The 23,281-nt window shown below is 43.0% G+C and overlaps 1 protein-coding gene and 1 pseudogene across 6 annotated transcripts in view; one reads left to right on the forward strand and one right to left on the reverse strand.

The window, feature by feature from the left end:
- The window catches only part of GSN (gelsolin), a 131,360-nt gene that overhangs the window by 23,351 nt on the left and 84,728 nt on the right, over positions 1-23,281 (forward strand). For all 6 annotated transcript variants that reach the window (NM_001353054.1, NM_001353053.1, XM_047423273.1 and 3 more), the window contains exon 6: positions 6,332-6,470. The gene's annotated coding sequence lies outside the window, so the exon portion shown is untranslated. The remainder of the gene's footprint in view (positions 1-6,331; positions 6,471-23,281) is intronic.
- LOC645482 (ATPase H+ transporting V1 subunit B2 pseudogene) lies at positions 13,841-15,246 on the reverse strand (annotated as a pseudogene).

A 23,281-nucleotide genomic window follows, 5' to 3' on the forward strand; every position in this document is an offset into this window, starting at 1 on the left:
ATTGAGACAGGGTCTCACTCTGTCACTTAAGCTGGAGTGCAGCAGCACAATCATGGCTCACTGCAGCCTTATTCTCCTGGGCTCAGGTGATCCTCCTATCTGAGCCTCCAGAGTAGCTGGGACCACAGACGCATGCCACTACGCTGGATAATTTTTAAAATTATTTGTTGAGACGGGATCTCCCTATGTTGCCTAGGCTATTCTCGAACTCCTGGGTTCAAGTGATCCTCCCACCTCGGCCTCCCAAAGTGCTGGGATTACAGGCATGAGCTACCATGCCCAGCCAAATGTAAAATAAATAAATAGACTACAAGAAAAATGAGTAAGTTAGTTCTGTAGTTTCTTCTATAATTTATAAAACAAATCATAAATGAAAGTTTTAACAAATTGGACTACAAAATGCTTTAAAATGTCTACATGACAAAACAAAAACAAATTTTTTTGTAAAAAGTAACTACAAATGGACTTGAAAGACAAAAGGAGAATTCACCCCAGATCCCAGTCTTTTAAACACAAAAGCACATATCCGAAATCATTTATGCTTTCACCACTTGTCAGGCCAATTATAGGATTAGCAAAGATAATGCCTGTGAGCCCGGGCTGTTCAAAGGCATTTTTCATCAGCCTAGGCACGGCTGTTAGAGCTGTCATTATGATCTTTGTGATTTCCAGCTCTGCAGCCAAAATCTGTCTGGAAAAAGCATCGGACATGGATACAGGTGTGAAGGGGGAGTTGTCCGTTAATCACTTTTCCTCCAAAGTGGAAAAGAACTCAGGTTTTCAAACTAGCCACACCCAGATTAGAATCCGGGCTCTGCAGCATTTGCCTTTCCTTTGATGAGATGTACACCATCTCGAACTCTTATCTCCTTGCTTGTAAAATGGGTCTATTGAGACCTGCATCTCCGAATGTTTTTGAGGAATGAATAAGATGATTAGCGTAGACTGCCCAGCACACAGCCTCACAGGTATTTTTTCTTCTTTTTTTGGAGACAGAGTCTCACTCTGCTGCCCAGGCTGGAGTGTGGTGGCACAATCTTGGCTCACTGCAACCTCCAACTCCCGGGTTCAAGTGATTCTCCTGCCTTAGCCTCCCAAGTAGCTGGGACTACCAGCACCTGCCACCATGCCTGGCTAAGTTTTGTATTTTTAGTAGAGACGGGGTTTCACCGTATTGGCCAGGCTGGTCTCGAACTCCTGACCTTGTGATTCCCCCCACCTCGGTCTCCCAAAGTGCTGGGATTACAGGCGTGAGCCACTGCGCCCGGCAGAGCCTGGCACTTATTAGACAATCAAAAAATGTGTGCTCCCCCTCCCATTGCCTTCTCTGGGAGCTCACCCAGGCTCTTCAAGTCATTCCTCCATCAATATTGGTTGGGCAAGTATGCATGCTGGATACTGCGCAGGTGCTGCAGAGACCAGCATTAGCATGGGAGAGGCACTTTCTCCTTCCTGGAGTTTACAGTCTCACTAGGACATCAGACACGGGACAGATAATTTTACAAAAACAAATTATTTAGAATTGAAGGAAAGCTATGAGGAAAAGCAACCCAGATTGTATCAGGAGCCTCTTGACTGAGTCATAGGGGATGAGGTGGCAGGGAGGTGTTCAGAAAGGTCCTCAGAGAAAGGGAACTGATGGATGGGGGAATTTGTGTTTGTTGGAGCCATCCAGGCTGAGAGAAGACCTGGTAAGGTCTGAACAAGATGGCACAGGGTTACCTGGGGTGAAATAATAAGAAATATAAGTATTGGTCTCTGCCCGAGTCCCTGGCACAGAGCTCCTAAAATTCTTACAATTTCCTGAGACATAGGTGAACTAGGAGCATCTTTTATTCTAATATTTGGTCTTTGACCCCAGCTCCTGACACAGAACTCCTAATTCCTTGGAATTTCCTAGGTAATAGGGGTATCTTTGTTTCAATAAGGCAACTCTTATTGGGCTCCCGGATGGGGGCTGGTCACCAGAAAGGCCAAGCCACTGTTAGAAGCTTGGCGCTTTCAGCCCCACCTCCATTCTCTAAAGAGGGAGAAGGGCTGAAATGCAGTTAATAATCGATCATGCCTACGTGATGAAGGCTCTATAAATATCCCTGAAGTATGAGGTTCAGTGAGCTTCTGGGTTGGCCAACACATCTGAGTGCCAGGAGGTGGTGCACCCCAACTCTATGGGGACAGAAGCTCCTGCAATCAGCACCTCTCCAGACGTTGTCCCATGTGTCTTCTCATCTGGCTGTTCATCTGTATCCATTATTTTAACTTTTATTAAGACACTGAAGGCTTGGCATGGTGGCTCACACTCGTAATCCTAGCACTTTGGGAGGCCGAGGTGGGCGGATCATCTGAGGTCAGGAGTTTGAGACCAGCCTGGCCAACATGGTGAAACCCCGACTCTACTAAAAATACAAAAATTAGCTAGGCGTGGTGGTGCGTGCCTGTAATCCCAGCTACTAAGGAGGCTGAAACAGGAGGATTGCTTGAACCCAGGAGGCGGAGGTTGCAGTGAGCCGAGGTGGCGCCACTGCCCTCCAGCCTAGGCAACAGAGCGAGACTCCATCTAAAAAAAAAAAAAGAGAGAGAGAGAAGACACTGGTAAACGTGTTTCCCTGAGTTCTGTGAGCCTCACTAGCAAATTAATTGGACCCAAGTAGGTGGTAGTGGGAGCCTCGATTTATAGCTCATTGGTCAGAAGTGTAGATGATAACCTACTACTTGCAATGTGTATCTGAAGTGGGAAACAGTCTTGTGGGACTGAGCCCTTCACCTGTGGAATCCAACACAATCTTTAGATAGATAGTATTAGAATTGAATTCAGTAAGAGGACACCTAGCAGATGTCCCCTGGAGAACTGCTTGGTGTGAGGGGAAATACACCCTCACATTGGTGTCAGACTGTTGTGTTGAGCGGTACATGAGAATAGATACACACTTCGGTTTTTTGGGTTTTTTTTCTATATTTAATACCTGGGGATACCAAGCAAAGGCCAGTGTGGCTGGAGCCTGGGCAGGGCAGTTGCCACTCAGGCTCAGCACTCCCAGCTTAGGAATTCTGGCTCCAGCACCCCACATGGATTCATCCCAGCTTCAGCCTGGACATCCCGGGGCCAGGAATGCACTACTTCTGGGGTGACCTGGTCCATATGGGGGCTAGTTAGTGCACCCAGAATTTCAAGTGCAGCCTGCTGGCTGCTGCACCACTGCAACCAGGAAGTGGACACCCAGCCGCAAGTTCTTGATCTTAACGGTGGTGCAGTCACTCACTCTCCTTTGCCAAGGCTCACTTTCCCATCTCTGATATTTATCCTGTGTTGTAATTACCTACTCAAATGTCTACCTCCATTATCTTAGGAAGCATGCCTTCCTCCTCCTTCTGTCCCCAGCTCCTAGCACAGACCCTGCACACCCGAGGTGCTGCAGAGAGCACATTTGTTGAATGAATCATAAACGATACTTTGCAAATATTTACTTATTTGATCTTGGATAACTGTTACCCCCCAGTTCTATGTTTTGTTGAGCATCTACTGTGTGCTAGACACATAGACACATTAAGTATAGAATCTCATTGATTAACATATATATATATATATATATATTTTTTTTTTTTTTTTTTTTTTTTTTTGAGATAGGGTCTTGCTTTGTTACCCAGACTGGAGTGCAGTGGTGTGATCTTGGCTCACTGCAACCTCTGCCTCCCAAGCTCAAGAGATCCTCCCACCTCAGCCTCCCAGGTAGCTGGGACTACAGGTGTGTGCCACCATACCCGGATAATTTTTGTAGAGATGGGGTTTCACCATTTTGCCCAGGCTGGTCTCAAACTCCTGGACTCAAGTGATCTGCCTGCCTCAGTCTCCCAAAGTGCTGGGATTACAGGCAAGAGCCACTGTGCCCGGCCCTTAGCCCTTTATTTTAAAAAAATTCAGATAAACAGACAAGTTGAAAGAACAGTACACACACATCCTTCATCTAGATTCAGTAATTTTGCCACAGTTTTTAAATCTCTGTGTGCATGTATGTACACACAGACACACATGCACACATACACACATGCTCGCTCTGTTTCTCTCTCTCTTCCTGAACCATTTGAAAGTTGCTGATATTAAGACTCTTCGCTTCTAATATCTTTAGCAAATATCTCCTAAGAGGAAGGCCGCTTTCTACATAATCATGATGCCATTGTCACGATCAATAAACATAAGACACAAAAGTAGTGTCTAAGAGCAGACCATGTTTGCATTCTCCTGTTGGCCTGATATATCCTTTATAGCTTTTTAATTTTCGTCCAGTAGTATAGAGAGCACATAATTCTCATAACTCTCAAGTCTCCATTAACCTGGAACAGTTCCCTCCCCCTACTTTGTCTTCAGTCTTTCATAATGAAATTAAAAATTTTATTATTATTATTATTTTTGAGACAGTCTTGCGCTGTCGCCCAGGCTGGAGTACAGTGGCGCAGTCTCAGCTCACTGCAACCTCCACCTCCTGGGTTCAAGTGATTCTCCTGCCTCAGCCTCCTGAGCAGCTGGGACTGCAGGCATGCGCCACCACACCCGGCTAATTTTGTATTTTTAGTAGAGTTGGGGTTTCGCCATGTTGGCCAGGCTGGTCTCAAACTTCTGACCTCAGGTGATCCACCCGCCTCAGCTTCCCAAAGTGCTGGGATTACAGACTGAGCCACCACGCCCGGCCTCATAATGAAATTTTGAGAAATCCAAGCCAGTTGTTTTATAAATGTTCCACAATTTAGGTTTGTCATTATAAGATTAAGTTATACATTTTTGGGCCAAAATGCTATTCAGGTGATTCTGTGTCTTTCCAGGGTGTCACACATGTTGTCAGCTTGTCTCATTACTGGGGATGCTAAGTTTTATCAGTTGGTTAAAGTGGTGGTTATCAGAAATCTTCATTGTAAAGTTACCTATTTATCTTTGTAATTAATAAGTAATTTCTGGGGAGACACTTTGAGACTATGTGGATCCAACAACTTCTCACCCAGTGTTTTAGCATTCACTGATAATTTTACCTGAATCAATTATTTCTATCATGGTTGCAAAATAGTGTTTTTCTAATTTCATCTACACTTTTTCTTTTTGGTTAGAATATCACTATATACTCATGGATTCTTTTTTTATACACTCATGGACTGTATAAATTCAATGTGTAGAAATCCTTTTTGATTCAATGTGTAGAAATCCTTTGAGTAGAGGGATATTTTTTAATTCAGTGTGTAGAAATCCTTTCTGATCACTTTTCATTTTGATATTCAAATTGTCTCATGTTTGTCCAGTGTGAGCTGCTTGTTTGAGCTGGCTGCTGTGTGCTTTGATGTGGCTCCAATAGCTTTGAACCTTCTTTGTTTTCTGGTACCAGATATTCCAGGCTCAAATTTTACCCTTATTTTATGGAGGAGGAAAAGGAGGCTCAGAGAGAGAAAACGGCTTGCTTTCTCACAATGTTTGGGAGATCCTGCTCAAGCTCAGGACGTTCAATTCCAAATTTTTAGGAAAGTAGCTAAACTGGAAGGCCAGACAATCCTATAGTGCAGAAAGGACCTCATGAAGAGATGTAGCTAAATCGTTAGCTGTCTGCGCACAGAGCTTGCCTAATAAGATGGAGACATCTGGATGGTATCTTTGAACTTACACAATTAGTAACACATTTCAAAGATATTTTATTTATTGAGGAAGTTGCAATGTGGGGGATAAGAGCCTGGGTTTTGGAGTAAGGAAGAACCAAGGTCTCCTTTAAGACTCAAGCAGATTCAGCCCTTGTGTGTCTCTGGGTAAGTTACTTCACCTTGTTGAATCCCAGACTTTTTCCATCGGTAAAATGGGGTAATCATACCCACCTCATAGTTAAATGGGTTCATTCATAGAAAGTGCCTAGTGTAATGTCTGGCACATGCTGATGCTCAATAGACAAAAGCTACCTTTACCATCAGTGCCGTTGCTATTATTATTATTAAAATCTGAGAAAATCCTGTTATTCAGTGGGTTAATGTGATAGAAAAAACAATAGATTTAGATTCTTAAAGACCCTCGCCCACCCTCTGTGACCTAGGATAAGTCCTACTCCCACTCTCGTGAACTTCATTTTATTCACACGTAAATCAGGGTTCATAATCTCTTCACTGCAAACTTCACAGCATCACTCAATGGATTTCATGAGCACCTACTACGTGCAGGGTAATCACATTCCTAACGCTAAAACCAAAGGGTAAGCATCGCTATACTCCTCCTTTAGTACATGATCAATTGGCAGTCCAGGGCCAACGAGAAGCAAAGCTGGGATTCCATCAGGCACTCTCTGACCTCCATGTTTGTCCTTTTCCATAGGTCACACTGTTTAGAAGGAGAAAGAAGAGCTCGCTGTGAAAAACGCTCCACAATGCTGCAGAGCCTTGTGAAGGTGGAAGAGTACTCTCATCAGCAAACGGCATTCCTTCCATGGAAAATGTCATTGGGAGGAAAGCAGGTGACTTTGGATTTCTTTTTCTTCTTTTCTATCCTTGTAAAGGATTTCCTTCTTCTCTATCTTTGATAACTCGTGAAAGCCTTAGGTTAATATTATCTACCAAGGACTCTACACTTCAAATAAGAACTGGGTGAAGGTAGCGGAGACCGAGCCAGCCCAGAACCAACTGCCTCAACTGAAGAAACTGACCAGAAAAGCCCTTTGAAGCTGTAATTAACTTCAGACATGATTTTGAAGAAGAAGAAGAAAAAACAAAAAACAAAATAACAGTAATGTCAGTGGGTATCAGAACTCCAGCCAATTCAACTGAGAGCTGGGAAGAGGGAAGAGAAAGTGCTGCAAATTTTCAACAGAGTGACCACAGAGTCCTACAGTATGAGCTCTCGTGGTGATGTAGCAGGCAGGCTTCTATTGTTTTAAAGATGGGGAATCATGAAAAAGAGAGAGAGAAGGGAAAGATGGGAAAAAATTTTAATCTTAAAAATATAAAAGCAGGCCAGGTGCAGTAGCTCACACCTGTAATCCCAGCACTTTGGGGTGCCAAAGCGGTCTCAGGAGTTTGAGACCAGCCTGGCCTACATGGTGAAACCCCGTGTCTACTAAAAATATAAAAATTAGCCAGTCATGGTGGCGGGTGCCTGTAAATCCAGCTACTTGGGAATCTGAGGCAGGAGAATTGCCTGAACCCAGGAGGCGGAGGTTGAAGTGAACTGAGATTATGCCACTGCACTCCAGCCTGGGTGACAGAGCGAGACTCTGTCTCAAATATATATATGTATATAAAAGCATTTGCAGCTATTCCAGATTAATATGGGAGGAAGTGATGGGAGAGACCAGAAGATTTGATAATCCCAAACCTAACTTGTTATAATGTGGTACAATGTAGACTGGTTTTCCTTGAGGTCAGGGACTGGACCTGCTTCATGACTGTCCAGTGCTGAGCACAGGGTGTGGCATCTGGTGGGATCTTAGGAAACATTTATGTAATGAGGAAATCTAGGAAATGTGATTGAAAATCTTCTTGACACCTTAGGGCCCTCACTATGATTGCAAAAATTATTAGTCTGTATAGATTAAAGCCAGGCTTCTGATTTATCTGGTGGGGCTGGTTAGTCAGTTATCCCTTTTTCACAGCCTCAGGCACTCTTGGCAGAGTTACATAAGTAAAAAGCCATGTGTGTATGCATGATAGGGATGAACGTATCAGTTAAGGGGCAGACTCCAATTTTGCAACCTTTTTAAAAAATATATTTTATTGTGATTAGAACACGTAACATGAGGACTACCCATTTAACAAATTTTCAAGTGTACGATATGGTATCATCGACTATAGATGTAATATTGTACAGCAGATCTATGGAGCTTATTCAATCTTGCTATCCTGAGCCAAGAAAATAAAAAGTATTTGTGTTTGTGAAATTGATTGGAAGAACTCTGCCAAAGGAAAGGCAACAGTTAGGTCTCAGGCAGGCCGGAAACCAAAACTCCATGGATCATAGAAGTAGAGACTCATGGGTACTTCCTTTCAAGAACCTCCGCTTTCCTTGATGTTTGCTTTGTGGCTGAGGAGACAAAGTGGCTCGATGGCACTCTCAGCTTACAATTCAGAGGAACCATTGTTGAGTCCCCTGATAGAAGTTTTCATCCCTTGGGCTTTGTGGTGGATTAAAGACGGCTACAAATTCCCTATCACTTCTCTGTTGAGAGGTGAAATGTGTTTCCTCAGCCCTTGAATACTGGGTTGGCCTGAGACTGCTTAACCAACAATATGTGGTAGAAGTGATGCTCTCTGTCAGCTCTGAGGTAGGCCTTTAATAAGACTAACAACCTCCTCTTCCTCCCTCTTGGAGCCCAGAGCTGCCACATAAGAAGTCCAGGCAAGCCAGGCGCGGTGGCTCATGCCTGTAATCCCAATACTTAGGGAGACTGAGGCAGGTGGATCACAAGGTCAGGAGTTCAAGACCAGCCTGATTAACATGGTGAAACCCCGTCTCTACTAAAAATACAAAAAATTAGTCGGGCGTGGTAGCATGCACCTGTAATCCCAGCTATTCAGGAGGCTGAGGCAGGAGAATCTCTTGAACCCAGGAGGTGGAGGTTGCAGTGAGCTGAGATCACGCCACTGCACTCTAGCCTGGGTGACAGAGCGAGACTCCATCTAAATAAATAAATAAATAAATAAATATCCAGGCTATTCTGCCAGGCACACAGAATAAGACCACTGAGGCACAGGAGGTCAAATAAAGATGCCATCTTTGATGTCCAGTCCAGTTAAACCTTCAGATGGTTCCAACCCCACCTAGCAACTGGCTGCAACCTCGTAAGAGACTCCAAGCAAGAACCACTGAGCTGAGCCCAGCCAACTCATAGAACCATGAGAGATAACAATATTTTACTATTTAAAGCCACAAAGTTTTGGAGTGGTTTGTTGTACAGCAACAGATAGCCAAAAGAGACCCTAAAACCTATAGCTAGCAAGGCCTAGAGTCTCAGGACAGGAAGTCTAACATTTGGAGAGCAGATGTTAGGTGTCACCTTGAGCAATTCCACCCCTTCGTTCCTGAAGCAATTGTTTCGATTGGAATTCAGTTTGCCTTCACTGAGCAACAGAAAACCCCAGACAATAATGCCTTGAACAAATCGAAAGTTTCTTTCTCTCACAAAAGTCTGGGTAAGTGATCCAGACTGGAATAGTGCTCTAAGATGTCAGGGACCCTGGTTCTTTATGCTTTTTTTATGCAATGCATGACCTAAGCCTCGTGGGTCAAGATGACACTTCAGGCAATAGGACAGAGGAAGGGATGCAAACACAAAGGGTGCTTTCTCCTGTAGAAGGTTATTTAAAGCCACCACATGTGGCTTCTTCTTGTATTCCATTGGTTAATATGTATCTCACGGCCGTGCCTAGCTGCAAGGGAGACTGGAAAATGGTATCTTGATTTTGGGTGGCCATGCACCCAGCTCTAAATTCTACTACTTCTAGTAAGAAAGGCTATTGGGAGACACTTTGCAGTGCCTGCCTCACTGCTACATCTTGAAAAGTAATAGAGAGACACAGGAAATGGCATCACATATGGGATGCTGACTCACAGCACCGATCCCTTCCGGAGGGGAGCAAGCAGTTATCTCCCCATGGGCACTGTGAGCCTCCACAAGGCCATTCTACTGTGCTATAGGAGCCAGCTGCTCCTGGGTCATGGGTGGGGTCTGTTAGGTGAAGAGTGAATCCCACAGGCCTTAAGTCACTGCCACTTTTGCCATGAAGTGAATTCCTTGATAAGAGGGAGCATCGTGTGACATACGATGACTAGGTAAAAGCTTCTATAAGCCCTCAGGCTGTGGTGCTGGTGGAGGCACGAAGGGCAGGGAAAGCAAATCCAGATAAAAAATAAATGTAGGGTTGGGCATGGTGCCTCATACCTGTAATCCGAGCACTTTGGGAGGCCAAGGCTGGAAGATCGCTTAAGCCCAGGAGTTAAAGTCTGCAGTGAGCTATGATTGCATCACCATACACTAGACTGAGCAACAGTGTGAGACCCCGTCTCTAAACAAATAAATTAAATAGTTAAATAAATAAATGTAGGACATTGCCATGAGAACAATTTGGCTGTTCCAGATGGAGTTAGTTCCCAGCTGAGAAACAGGGAGGTGTGGGGCAGAAGGAAGAGTGTTAGCTTCCTTCCTTCTCCATGAGAGGGAGGCGCAGAGGAAAGGCTGCAGACCAAGATGGTTAGTGGGTAGGAATTCTCCAAGTTCTCTCGCAAGCCCCAGATATCACCATCCTTTCCTAAAGGAAACCTGGCAAAGTCATGCCGTTGGCTGTCACTGAAATTCAGCAACTCCCCGAATCCGAGTTTGGCTTTAGCAATCTCGCACCCATGGCCCCAGTGAACAGTTTCCATCTGGCCAGAGAAAAGTCGTGAGTTTCACTTTGTGCCTTGTGGCAAACATCTCAAGACGTGAGCTTGTCCTTATCCTAAATCAAGATACCTGATGCTTTCAGAAGCAGCCACCCTACTGGTTTCCACATCTTTCATCTCCCTTTTAGGTGGCTGAGAATTTTAGCTTCAGCTTGTCCAAAGTCCCAGATTACCCAAAGAGATTATGTGCTTAGCCACTGTCTTCCAAGGGCTGGTCGTTCCTATTCTGGAAGACAATTAGGATTCTCAGTGCCTCTCTCCCTGTCCAGCTCAAGAATCATGGATCACTTGGAGGAAAAGCTAAGCTCCTGTAATAAAAAGGCAAACTAGAGTAGCCTATTTCCCCTTGAGGTGAGTGGCCCAGAGCAGAAGGGCAGCTTTGGTTCTTTGTCGCTCATTCTTCCCCAGGGCAGTGTTCTCTTCTGCATCGGTGCAGCTGGGTTCTGGCTGGTGGGAAAGAAGACAGTGGAGAAAGCTTGCTGGTTATCTTAGAACCCAGGCCCGGAAATGACACGTGACTCCCACTTCATTCCCCTGGTGAGAATTCAGGCACCTGGCCACCCTAAACACAAGCAAGGCTGGCAAAGACAGTCTAGGGGGACAGCCATGTGCCTGGCTCCTATTATACTTAGGCAAAAAAGTAGAATGGAAAGCCTTTTGGTGAACACCTAGCAGTCTCGGCCACATATTCCAAATAGCTCTTATTTCCTTGAGGGTCTGAATGAGTTTTCTAGGACTGCCATAACAAAGTATCATGAACTGGGTGGCTTAAAACAACAGAAATGTATTGTCTCACACTCTGGATGCCTGAAATCTGAAATCAAGGTGTCCACAGGACCACATTCCCTCTGAAGAGGCAATGGAAGGAGCTGTTCTCCAGACCGCACTCCTAGCACCTGGCAGCCACAGGTGTTTCTTGGTTTGTGGCTGCCTCACTCTAATTCTCTCTTTTTTTTCTTTTTCCATTATTTAACATGTTGTTGTTATTGTTGTTTGTTTGTTTGTTTTTTCCCCAAGACAGAGTCTTGCTGTGTTGCCTAGGCTGGAGTGCAGTGGTGCGATCTCGGCTTACTGCAGCCTCCACCTTCTGGGTTCAAGCAATTCTCCTGCCTCAGCCTCCCAAGTAGCTGGGACTACTGATACACGCTACCACGGCCGGCAAATTTTTGTATTTTTAATAGAGACAGGGTTTCACCACGTTGGCTGGTCTCGAACTCCTGACCTCGTGATCTGCCCGCCTCAGCCTCCCAAAGTGCCTGGATTACAGGCATGAGCCACCATGCCCGGCCAACATGTATTTTCATTTATATCCAAATATCACATTTTCTACATTAAAATTATACTGACTTCCCCCGTACCCTACACCCTAAGAGAAAAAAAGAAAAGAAATTTACACAATTTGAAAGGTAGAATGCATGGAGTAGGGAAGTTGCTATTGCACCTGAGTAACAAAGAACAGAGAGACCAAACAGTCAATAAGGCACAACTGCATAGAAGACAGCTCAGGGCTTGCATCAGGAAGGAGCAGGAATAAAACTCCAAAACTTCTAAGTGCCACCACCTGTGCCACAACATTACCCTGAAAAGGCAGAGGTAGGTCCGAAAGCAGAACCAAATCAGGGATTTTCCAAAGGCTGCTTCCTAACAGAGATTAAAATATCCACAAACATGAGAGCCTTTGCTTCTCACCTTGCCTTCAGCATCTGGTAAACACTTTAGAAACTTAAACCACTGTTCACATGTCAGAATGTAGAATGGCTATAGGTTTTTCTTTCTTCTTTTGTTGTACCCCAAGCAACCACTCTATTAATGATTTTAGTCATGTGATTCTTCTGCATGGAAACTCAGTAAAGGTCACCAAAGACAAGGCTTTTCACTGCTATCAGATAAATATCAGCTGTGCAAAAGTTGCAGGATTTTGTGTGTTGCTCAGAGAGGGAGAGCTGTAAGACACAGGAATCTCAATGCATATGTAATAAACAGGAAAAGGAAATTTCTTTTGCTCATCTATTTATTGTATAAGAAAGAGCAAGTAGGCAGTCAAAATCATCTGCTAGGCTAGGGGTGATGTCTCATGCCTGTAATCACAACACTTTGGGAGGCCGAGGAGGGAGGATCACTTGAGCCCAGGGGTTCAAGACCAGCTTAGGCAACATAGTGAGACCCTGTCTCTACAAAAAGAATTAAAAAATTAACTGCATGTGAGTAGCACATGCCTGTAGTCCCAGCTACTTGGGAGACTGAAGTAGGAGGATTGCTTGAGCCTGGGAGCAGCTGTGCTCACACCACGGTACTCCAGCCTGAGCGACAGAGCAAGACTCTGCCTCAAAAACAAACAAACAAACAAAACCAACCAACCAAGCAACCAAAGAAACTATTTGCTTAGAGCAGCAGCACAGAACCACAGGCACATCAACAACCCAAAAGAAAATGCTCAAGAAAGAGCATCTTGGCTCTTTTGAAAGGAGTCATCTTTTAGACCTGATCTTGCCCCTTTAATTTAGAGACCAAAGCATTATAACTCAGAGGCTGATACTCTTGAGGAGGTTGAGAGGTAAAGTCCAAGAGACCCAGATAATGAGGACATTATTAGGTAACTAACTATATCACTGTGTACAATGCAAACATCAATAAGAAAACGTCACCTGCATCCCTGCAGCTACTTTTAGCAAAGCACTGAAGACCCAGGTTTTCTGAATAGGGAATAGTTTGAAGTCTGTTAGCAGTTTAAAGCATTCAACACTGGAACAATATGTTACGTATTCTTTGTTTTTAATTATAGGTTAACACGGTAAACTCCAACACAAAGATGAGGCTAGGGGAGTGCTAAAGGAATAAAGAAAACAGAACCAGCATTTCACAAGTATATTAAGCAGTGATGAAACAGCAGCCAGTGCTTTGCAGAGTCTCAAGGGTAAAATTTACTTTGCTGCTGTGATGGTTAATACTTAGTGTCAACTTGATTGGATCGAAGGATGCAAAGTATTGTTCCTGGGTGTGTCTGTGAGGTTGTTGCCAAAGGATGTTAACATTTGAGTTGGACTGGGAGGGGAGACCCACCCTCAATCTGGGTGGGCACAATCTAATCAGCTGCCAATGTGGCTGGGATAAAAGCAGGCAGAGGAATGTAGAAGGACTAGACTGGCTTAGTCTTCCAGCCTGCATTTTTCTCCCATTCTGGATGCTTCCTGGCCTTCAACATCAGACTCCAGGTTCTTCAGCTTTGGGACTCTTGGTCCTTCGACCACAGACTAAAAGCTTCACTGTCAGCTTCCTTACTTTTGAGGTTTTGGGACTTGGACTGGCTTCCTTGCTCCTCAGCTTGCAGACGGCTTATTGTGGGACTATACTTTGTGAGCGTGTGAATCAATACTCCTTAATAAATTCCCCTTTATGTAGATATCTATCCTATTAATTCTCTCCCTCTGGAGAACCTGACCAGTACAGGTGCTCTTCAGCATATCTTTGGGGAAGATTAGGAACAGTTGCCAACCAGTATCCAAAGTCTCATAGACAGTGTGATTTTCATGAGGACCCTGAAAAATAAAGTTCCTCTCAAACTTCTGCAGAAATTCCAAGTCAAGAAGATCATCTGAGCTAAGGGCTTCTTCTCCAACTACAGCAATCATGGCTTGTACATCCTTCCCAATAGCTTGCCTACAGCTGGTTACATACATCTGCATGATTCTTCCTGGTCATCCCTTCTCCAATAGCAGACTTCATGAACAGTGATAGTTCAGGCAGCACATTGATAGGTGGGTAAATCTCTCTCTTGTGTAGCTGTCTGTCCACATAGATCTGTCCCAGTCAGTTCAGAGATGGGTGAATGATATCGTTGGCAGGCATGGTAAGAGTAGGAATTTGAGTAATTGAGCCATTTCTACCTTCTCCTCGACCTGCATGTTCATATATAGTGGCTAAGTCTGTATAAGTGTAACCTGTGAAGCCTCATCAACCAGGAATCTCTTCTCTGGCTGTAGAAACCTCTTGAAGTGCTTCAGTAGATGAACTCATATCTGTTAGGATAACCAATACATGTTTCTCATATTGGTATGCCAGAAATTCGGCTGTGGTTAGAACCGGGTGAGGGATGGCAATCCACCCAATAGTTGGGTCATTAGCCAAGTTCAAAAACAGGCAGATGTTGTCCATTGAGCCATTTTCTTCAAAACCAGATTTGAAGAACCAGGCAGTTTCCATGTTTACATCCTTAGCAGCAAATACAATTGGAAAATTTTCCTCAGTGTAGTCTACGTCTTTGGATTCATTTAGCAAACCAGTCTGGTGGCAGATTTGAGCTGCAATCTTTGTGTAGTAACCCAGCAGCAGAGAAGATAAAAATTTTCTGCCCCGGCAATACTGTTCATACCAACTATGGCTGAAATGCTGGTCCGAATCATGTCCTCTGGGTAGATTTGACGTTGAGGATTGGTTGGCCATCGCATGATATCAAAGAAATCTTCAGCCAGTACAAGAGGACCTCTGTCAATGGGTTTTTCCCGATCCAACTAATACCCAACAAAGCATATCCTCAGACACTGATGTTTGGAGAATATCCCCAGTCCCTTGAAATACCTGAACCACTGCCTTGGAGCCACCAACTTCTAGAACTTGCCCATGTCTCTGTGCCATCTAGTAATGTCCAGTGGACAATATCAGCGTCTATGGGAAACTTAACGTGATCTAAGATCACTAGTAGACCATGGACTCTTGATACTGTGATGTATGTAAGGCAAGGCTGGGAGAGGTAGTTCCAACTAACTGCCAGCACCTGCTCCTGAGCTCCCACCACCAGCGGGCTTGGGTAGTTTGGGTGTGGCCCATTCATAACCCCACACATCGCCTGCAGCGCCATCATCTTGACATAGCATTTTCCCTGTGTGTCTGCACATTGTCTTCCCTCTGTATTTGTCTGTTTCTGTGTCCAAATTCCCCTTTTTAAGTGACATCAGTCACATTATATTACTATTAGGGCCTAGCCTGATTACCTCATTTTAACTTGATTATTTCTGTAAAGACCCTATTTCCAATTAAGGTTGCATTCAGACATCCTAGAGGACAGGACTTCAACACTGTTTTGTGTAGGGGTTGGGGATTCAACTCATAACAATTCAACTCATAACAAAGTCTGCTGTCTGCAATCAGCTCTTGGGTGCTGATATCTATATGCTCTGTAACAGAAGCAAACCTAAGCAAAGAAAGAGAATGTACTGGAAGTATATTGGGTGGCTCCTGGAACCAAAAGAGAACTTCAACAATCAGGCCTCGGGAGAGGCAAAAATTCCTGGACATCTCTTTAGGGCCTGCTTTCCAGATGATTCTGCGTCAATATCCTTCTGGCCAAGTATCCTTTTTCTCAAGATACAAATTCTTGGAAGAGTCAGTTGGGTTAGCTTGTGGTGGAACCAGGACCTGTTTGGGGCTTGTGAGTGGGATCAAGTGACGGACAATCCTGCTAGGGCCTCATGGGGTAGAGGAGGGGCAGTTCTCCAAAAGAAAGTGAGGGGCGGCCACTAAAGATGGGGGAGGCATGTGATGTGCAGGTGAAACCGCAGGAGTTTGCTACACATTGTACTTTGTTTAAGAAAGACTTCTGCTCTGCAGCTGTGTTTCTAAATGTTATGGCACTTAAAGGAGCCATTTTAGTCATCTGGAAAACGCAGAGTTGTGGGGAAATGCAGTGTCATGTGTTAAAAAGAGCACTCTTGGTGAAATCAGGAGAGCAGGTTTTGTTTGGCTTTTTTAAATATTTGCAGATGGTATAATTCCATCTTGAAAACAAGGGAATCAACTGAAAAGCTCTTGGAAACAGGAAACTTCAACCAAGTATCAAGTTACTAACTGGAAATAAAAATAATGCCATACAGATCAATTAGAAAGAAAGCATAAAAGAACCAAAGATGTTATTCAACTTAGCTACAAAGGCAGCTTGTAAAAGAATAAACTCGGAAAGAAGTGCAAAGGGCATCTATTAAGAGAAAACATCAGATTCTCCTTGGAGGCGTAAAAGACAAAGGGTAGAAAAACTTGGGATAATAAAGATGTAATTTCTCCCTAGGTAAATGGATTAATTCACTGAAAGATTTCAGGTGAGCAAACAAACAAAATCAAATCTGAGCCAATCAAAATCCTAATTAGGTCTTTTAACTTGAAAATATGAGTCTAAAACTCATAGGAAGAGTCCCTGTCCGTGGATGTCATATCCTCAGCCAAAAAACTTCCCCACAGGTTTTGATTTTTGGTTCTGTCATTTAATGATCTGTGAGACCTTGGGGCAGGTAATGTAACCTCTTCGGGCCTTAGTTTTTTCTCTTGTGAAGAGGGATAATCCTATCTTTCTGCTTAACAGAGCTGTAGCAATGATCATGTGAGAGAAAGTATTTGGAAGTGTCTTATAAACTGTAAAGCACGTTTCATGCTATAGTTGCTATTTTTATTCTTCCATGATGCCAGATAAATAGGAAAAATCACAATGCAAAAGGAGTCCATTGCTCTGCAAGAAGATAAACACCTCTTATTAAACTCGGATACATCATGATTTGTAAATATTTGATTCCTGTGAAGGAGAGAAAAAAGCTAATGCAAGCTGTTTGCTGCTCAGTAAGTGAGGGCTCACTCTCTGGTTATGGAACTGAGCAAAATGCTTATGGCCTCCCCTCTGTCTCCAACCCCACACCCCTGTGTTGTCATCTGTAGAGTGAAAGGTTTTGGACTTCAGGGTGTTTGACAGCATGAACTTTGGGTCTCTACAGATCTTGGTTCAAAATGTAGTGCCAGCAATTACTTTGGACAACTTATTATTTCTTTTCTTGGGTTCCAAAATCCATCAGACAGGCATGATAATAATCTCTATTATTATATCTATTAGTATTTCTCAAAGGGATGATACCTACCTCATCAATCTTCAGGAAGACTTGAGAGTTAAATGGGATAATAAATACTAAGTGCCTGGAACCTAGTAAAAGCTCAATAAATGAGCATTGTAAATAATTAACTATCATAATTACCATCATTATTATTACTCTAAGGGCCTTTGCAGCTTTAAAATCTAGGATAACATGTCAGAGAAAAGCTAAAACAGGGAGGAAACAGAAAAGATTCCCTTAATACGGCTTGAATCAGTACTTGCAAGGGAGAGATTTTTCTGGAAGATGGCTTGTGTATTCATCATAAGGCCTCATTTAACCTTGGTGACTCACAGAGTTCGGCTGGGCCTGCTGTCCTCTGGAAAAAGGGGGATAGAGGAGTAACGAACCAAATGGGGCTAGACAGGGGAAAGCCATGGCCTGGAGACCACAGTGGATGGTTCCTTAGAGAGTCTGGTCCAAGGTTTTTAACTTTTATAAAATATATGTTAAATTGAGAAATTTCTTTTTCTGCAAATAAGTTTTGAGGTAGGGACTGTTGGTTGCCAAACCAAAGCTATGCCCTTTTCATTCCTTGACAGCGCAGCTCTGATAATTGTTCAGGATCAGACAGCTGAGTGGCTCAGGAGAGAATGGTGCAGCCTCAGGACAAGGGGCAGGAGGAAGCCTGATTACTTTGGCCAGTGATTGGTTTAGAAATGGGCATGTGATGCAATTCTGGCCTATGAGATAACAGGGGATGTAAGGCATGTCATCTTTTCCTTAAGAAAGAGGAAAATTTTCCTATAGAAACCCTGCCTGCTCCTGGGCTTCTGCGTAAATTTTCCTCATCCTTAAGGAAAGGGTGATGTACCTACATCTCTGGCAGGAACATAAAACAGCACAACCCCTATGGAGGGTACATTAGTTTCCTATCACTGCTGTAACAAATTACCACAAACTTGGTAACTTAACACAACACAATTTATTCTCTTAAAGTTCTGGAGTTCAGCAGTCTCCCTGGGCTAGAATGAAGGTGTTGGCAGGGCTGTGCTCCCTCTGAAGGCTCCAGGGAGAATCCACTTCCCTGCCTTTTCTGGCTTCTAGAGTTTCGTTCCTTGCATTCCTTGGCACATGGTTCCTTCCTTCATCTTCAAGGCCAGCCACGTAGCATCTTCGGATCTCTGTTCTGTCTTCATACTGCCTTCTCCTCCATGGTAAAATCTCCTTCTGCCTATCCTTTATAAGGAAACTTACGATTACATTTAGAGATCACTTCGATAATTCAGGACATTCTCCCCATCTTAAGATTCTTAATCACATCTGCAAAATCCCTTTTGCCATATAAGCTAACATCCCAAAGTTCCAGGAATTAGGATCTGGTTATCTGTAGGGGCCATTAATTAGCCTACCACAGAGGGAATTTTGGTACTAACTAGCAAAATTACTTGTACATTTATTTTTTTCAAGGTCAGGGTTATTGAGGTATAATGTACATATAGTAAAATTCATTTTTGAGGGGGGTGGGAGCAGCGTTTTGCTCTTGTTGCCCAGGCTGGAGTGCAATGGCACGATCTTGGCTCACTGTAACCTCTGCCTCCTGGGTTCAAGAGATTCTCCTGCCTCAGCCTCCCGAGTAGCTGGGATTACAGGTGTGCACCACCACGCCCAGTTAATTTTTGTATTTTTAGAAGAAACAGGGTTTCACCAGGTTGGCCGGGCTGGTCTTGAACTCCTGACCTCAGGTGATCCACCCATCTTGGCCTCCCAAAGTGCTGGGATTACAGGTGTGAGCCACTGCACCTAGCCATATTTTTAGTGCACAATTGTATGAGTTTTGACCAGCACATATAGTTGTGTAATTATATCACAATCAAAATGTAGACCAGTTTCATCACCCCAAGAAATTAATTTATGTTGCCCCTTAGTAGCCAAACCACCCCCTTGGCTTAGCCCCTGGCAACCACTGGTCTGTTCTCTGTCCCTGTAATATTGTCTTTTTGAGAATGTATAAATGGAATCATAGCATATGTAGCTTTTTAAATCTGGCTTCTTTCCCTTAGCACAGTGCATTTGAAATTCATCCATGTTGTAGTGGGTCAGAAGTTTGTTCCTTTTTATCATTGGGTAGCAATTAGATTAAATAGATGTATCACAATGTATTCATCAGATGAAAGAAACTTGAATTGCTTCTAGTTTTTGGTGATTATGAATAAAGCTTCTATAAATGTTCAGGTACAGACAAATGTGAAAATATGTTTTCATGTCTCTTGAGTAAATATGTAGGAAAAGGATTGTTGGCCGTATTATAAATATATTGCATGTTACATTTTATAAGAGACTGGCAAAATGTTTTCCAAAGTGGCTGCACCATTTTGCATTCCCACTAGTAATGTATGAGAGTTCCAGTTGCTCCACAACCTCATCAGCATTTAGCATTGTCAGTTTTCTTTCTCTTAATTTTAGCCATTCTGAGAGGTAGGCAGTGGTATAGTAATCCCACTTCTAGATAGCTATCACAAATATGCAGTAGCAAAAATATAAAAAGGTGCATGTGCAAGGCTAGCCACTGCAGCTCTATTTGTAATAGCAAGAAAATGGAAACTCAAATTTTAATCGATGGAAAACTAATTGAATAAATGATGGTACATCCCCCAAATGAAGTATTATGCAGCTACTACAAGGGACAAGAAATTACTCCACTACTATGTGTGATCTCCAGGATATATTTTTAAGTAAAAAGAGAAAAGTATGTATAGTATGCAATCATTTATCTACAAATAAGAGAAAAACTATAAAAATTTAATAAAATATTCCCATAGCAAAAGGGAAAGAATAGAAAGGAAGGTACAGGGATGGAAGCTAGGCTTCTAAAAATATAGCTTTAGAAGCTAGCTTCTAAAAAAAAAGTAGATTTAACTTTGGAACAATGTAAACATTTTATGTAATTACATGCAAAATTAAGAAAAAATCAAATTCCTAGAAAGTAAAAATAATGTTAAATTAAAATGACCCTGTGTGTCCAGTTGATGACGTAACCACACAAAGAAGACTTTAGTGACCTTAAATCACTATCATTCGATTCTATACTCCTAGAAGACTATATCTGGCAAAAAGAGCTGTGTATTACAGGATGAAAATAATAATTATGTTGATGTCCTTAAAAATTAAGATATTTGGCATAGTTGATAGGAGATATAAATCTAAGATTGATAAGATTGAGCAAAAAGTCTATAGTCCTCCACTTCAATTGGAAGTATCAGTATGGATGCATTATACCTTTTCTTTCTTTCTTTCTTTCATTTTGAGTCAGGGTCTCACTCTGTCACCCATGCAGGAGTGCAGTGGCATGATCAGGGCTCACTGCAGCCTTGACCTCCTGGGCTCAAGCAATCCTCATGCCTCAGCCCCTCTAGTAGCTGGAACTACAGGTGTGCACCACCATGCCCAGTTAATTTTTTAAAAACATATTATTAGAGACAAGGTCTCACTTTGTTGCCCAGGCTGGTCTCAAACTCCTGAGCTCAAGCGATGCTCCTGCCTCGGCCTCCCAAAGAATTGGGATTATAGGCATGAACCACTGAGCTTTGTCCCTTTTATCTTTAGAAAACAATATACATCTCCTAGCTATGCCTACTAAAAATAATTGAAATTCAAGTAAACTGTGAAAAGAAAAACACTTTTTAAAAAAGAGACGAGGTCTTGCTAAGTTGCCCAGGCTGGAGTGCAGAGGCTATTCACAGGTGCAATCATGGCTCTCTATAGCCTTGAACTGTTGGGCTCAAGTGACCCTCTTGCCTCAGCCTCTTGAGTAGCTAGGACTACAGATGTGTGCCACCGTGCCCAGCTTGAAAAACGCATTTAAAAGACAACCAGAGAAATATAAATGTTATAGTATATTTACTGAAACTCAGAAATGATTGTCAATATGTTAAACTGTGATAATGGTATTGTATTTTTTAAAAAGAACTTGTACCTTTTAGAGATATATTCTGAAATATTTATAGAAGAAATAATATATCTAAGATTTGCCTCAAAATTATCTGAGGGCAGGGAAAGGAAAGGTATGTGAACACGTAGATGATTCAGGATGAGTATTTAGTGGCAATTGTAAAAGCTGGGTGGTGGGCACATTAGGATCATTATACTACTCTTTCTACATTTGAGTGGTTTTAACATTTTCCATAATAAAAAAGTTTTTTTTTTAAAAAGGAGATGTGAAGATAGTTGTCTGAGGATGCTATGCTCAGAGCTGCTGCAGTCACTTTGTGAGAATGAAAGAGCAAGCTTGAGGCCTAAAGCATCCAATTTGATAGGTATTCCATTTCTATGAATTCAAATTTCTTAACTTAATTATAAAGCTAGTTAATGCGAAAATGAGGCAATTATCATGGACACAAATATTGAAACTAGGGTTTATCCATGTATATTCATGAGACTTTTTTGGTTGCAACTAATAGAAACCTTAGCATAGTTTAGGCAAAATTTAGAGATTTATTATGGAAATTCAGAATTCTAGGACAGAAGTGCCACCAAGACTCATGAAGAACATAGTTCACAATATCAGGTCCCTCCATATCCTTTCTCCAGCTCTCATCGCCGCTCTTCAGCATTACCATGACTGTCTATCACCACCCTCTCATTGCAGACCAGCTTCCTTCATTTTCCAGCCCACATCATGGAAAACTTGCACAAGTCCAAGTTCAGCCATTCAGATAGAGACAGGTTTTTTTCTCCAGACCCAGTTCCAAAACTTCTGGAAGAAGAGCTTGATTGGTCCGGAAGCTGAGATTGTCCCGTCCAGTGGGGAGGGCCCACTCCTAAGTGAGTCATGGCCAGAGTTTAAGGCGTGTGTGATATGGCTGCTCCTGTGGTTCCTGTGGTGTTCCTGTAGGCAGAAGAGCAATTCCCAGAGACGTGTAGGTGGGAAGTGGGAGGCAGACAGAGCAATAGGCATCTATATAGTTGAGTCAGGCCAGATCATGAGATCATGAATGGGTGCAAAAATTGCTGAGAATGATGCCTTGGGCAGGTTGAATTTTGGTTGACTGCGGAAAGTCAGCCAGCAGGGGCAAGGAAGACTCGGTTCCCGGCTGCCCCAGGGTGCTCACAGGGGCTTGCTCAAGTTCAGTGGTCATTGCAGCCCATGGATAGTCAGGAACCAGCCAGACCAGAGGTGCTCAGGCCTTGGTGCTCAGGGAAAGAAAGGCTATATCAGTGCTCAAGGGCCCATCTACTCCCACGCAAGGGAGCCCCCGCCACACTGCTGTCTGGCATTTGTCCCACATTGTTCCAATTCTTACACCATCAGGCTTAAAAATACAACGCAACAACTGTAGCCTTCCAACTGTGCAGCCTCTGACTTCCACCTTCCATTCTAGTGACATAGTATTGAGAACATCCTGACTCACACCCATAAGTAGTTGCAAACTGAAATCGTTTTTCTTCATCTTCCATTGCAACGTCAGTCTGGCTTTTAAGCTACTTTTCAATTAAACTGATCCAGAAGCTTGAGAGAGAAGTGAGTAGAAAATGTTTTATTTGAGTTTAAATCACTAATCTAGGCAATAGCTGTGGGTATTCTGTAGCATTCATTTGAATCAGGAGGAAAAGAGCATCCAAGATTTAAAATAAGTACAAAAAGCATCCAAAATAGAATAATCAAATCACCAAATCAAATAATCAAATTGACTTAGTTGTTACACTGGGATCCTAATGAACCCCAATGTTAGCCCTACTTGACTCACGAGATTCTGGTAATGGGTCACTGATAAAGCCCAGGTAAAGCAACCTCACCCCCCCACCCCACCACCCCCAGTGCCCACCACACCCCGCCACTGCAAGGGAGTCTCACCAATGAAGGCCATCCATGAAGAGGGGCAGTCTTCAGTTCATTAGGAGAGTATGTATATGCTATGCTATGTATTTGCATAGAAATGAATAAGGTGCTTCCACATTCTCTCCTTTATTTGATCCCAACAAAGGGAGTTAGATAGGACAGATGTTATTTTATAAAGGAGGAGACTGAGTCTCAGAGAAGTGCTGT

Source organism: Homo sapiens, chromosome 9 (genome assembly GCF_000001405.40).
Source record: "Homo sapiens chromosome 9, GRCh38.p14 Primary Assembly".
Classification (NCBI taxonomy): domain Eukaryota; kingdom Metazoa; phylum Chordata; class Mammalia; order Primates; family Hominidae; genus Homo; species Homo sapiens.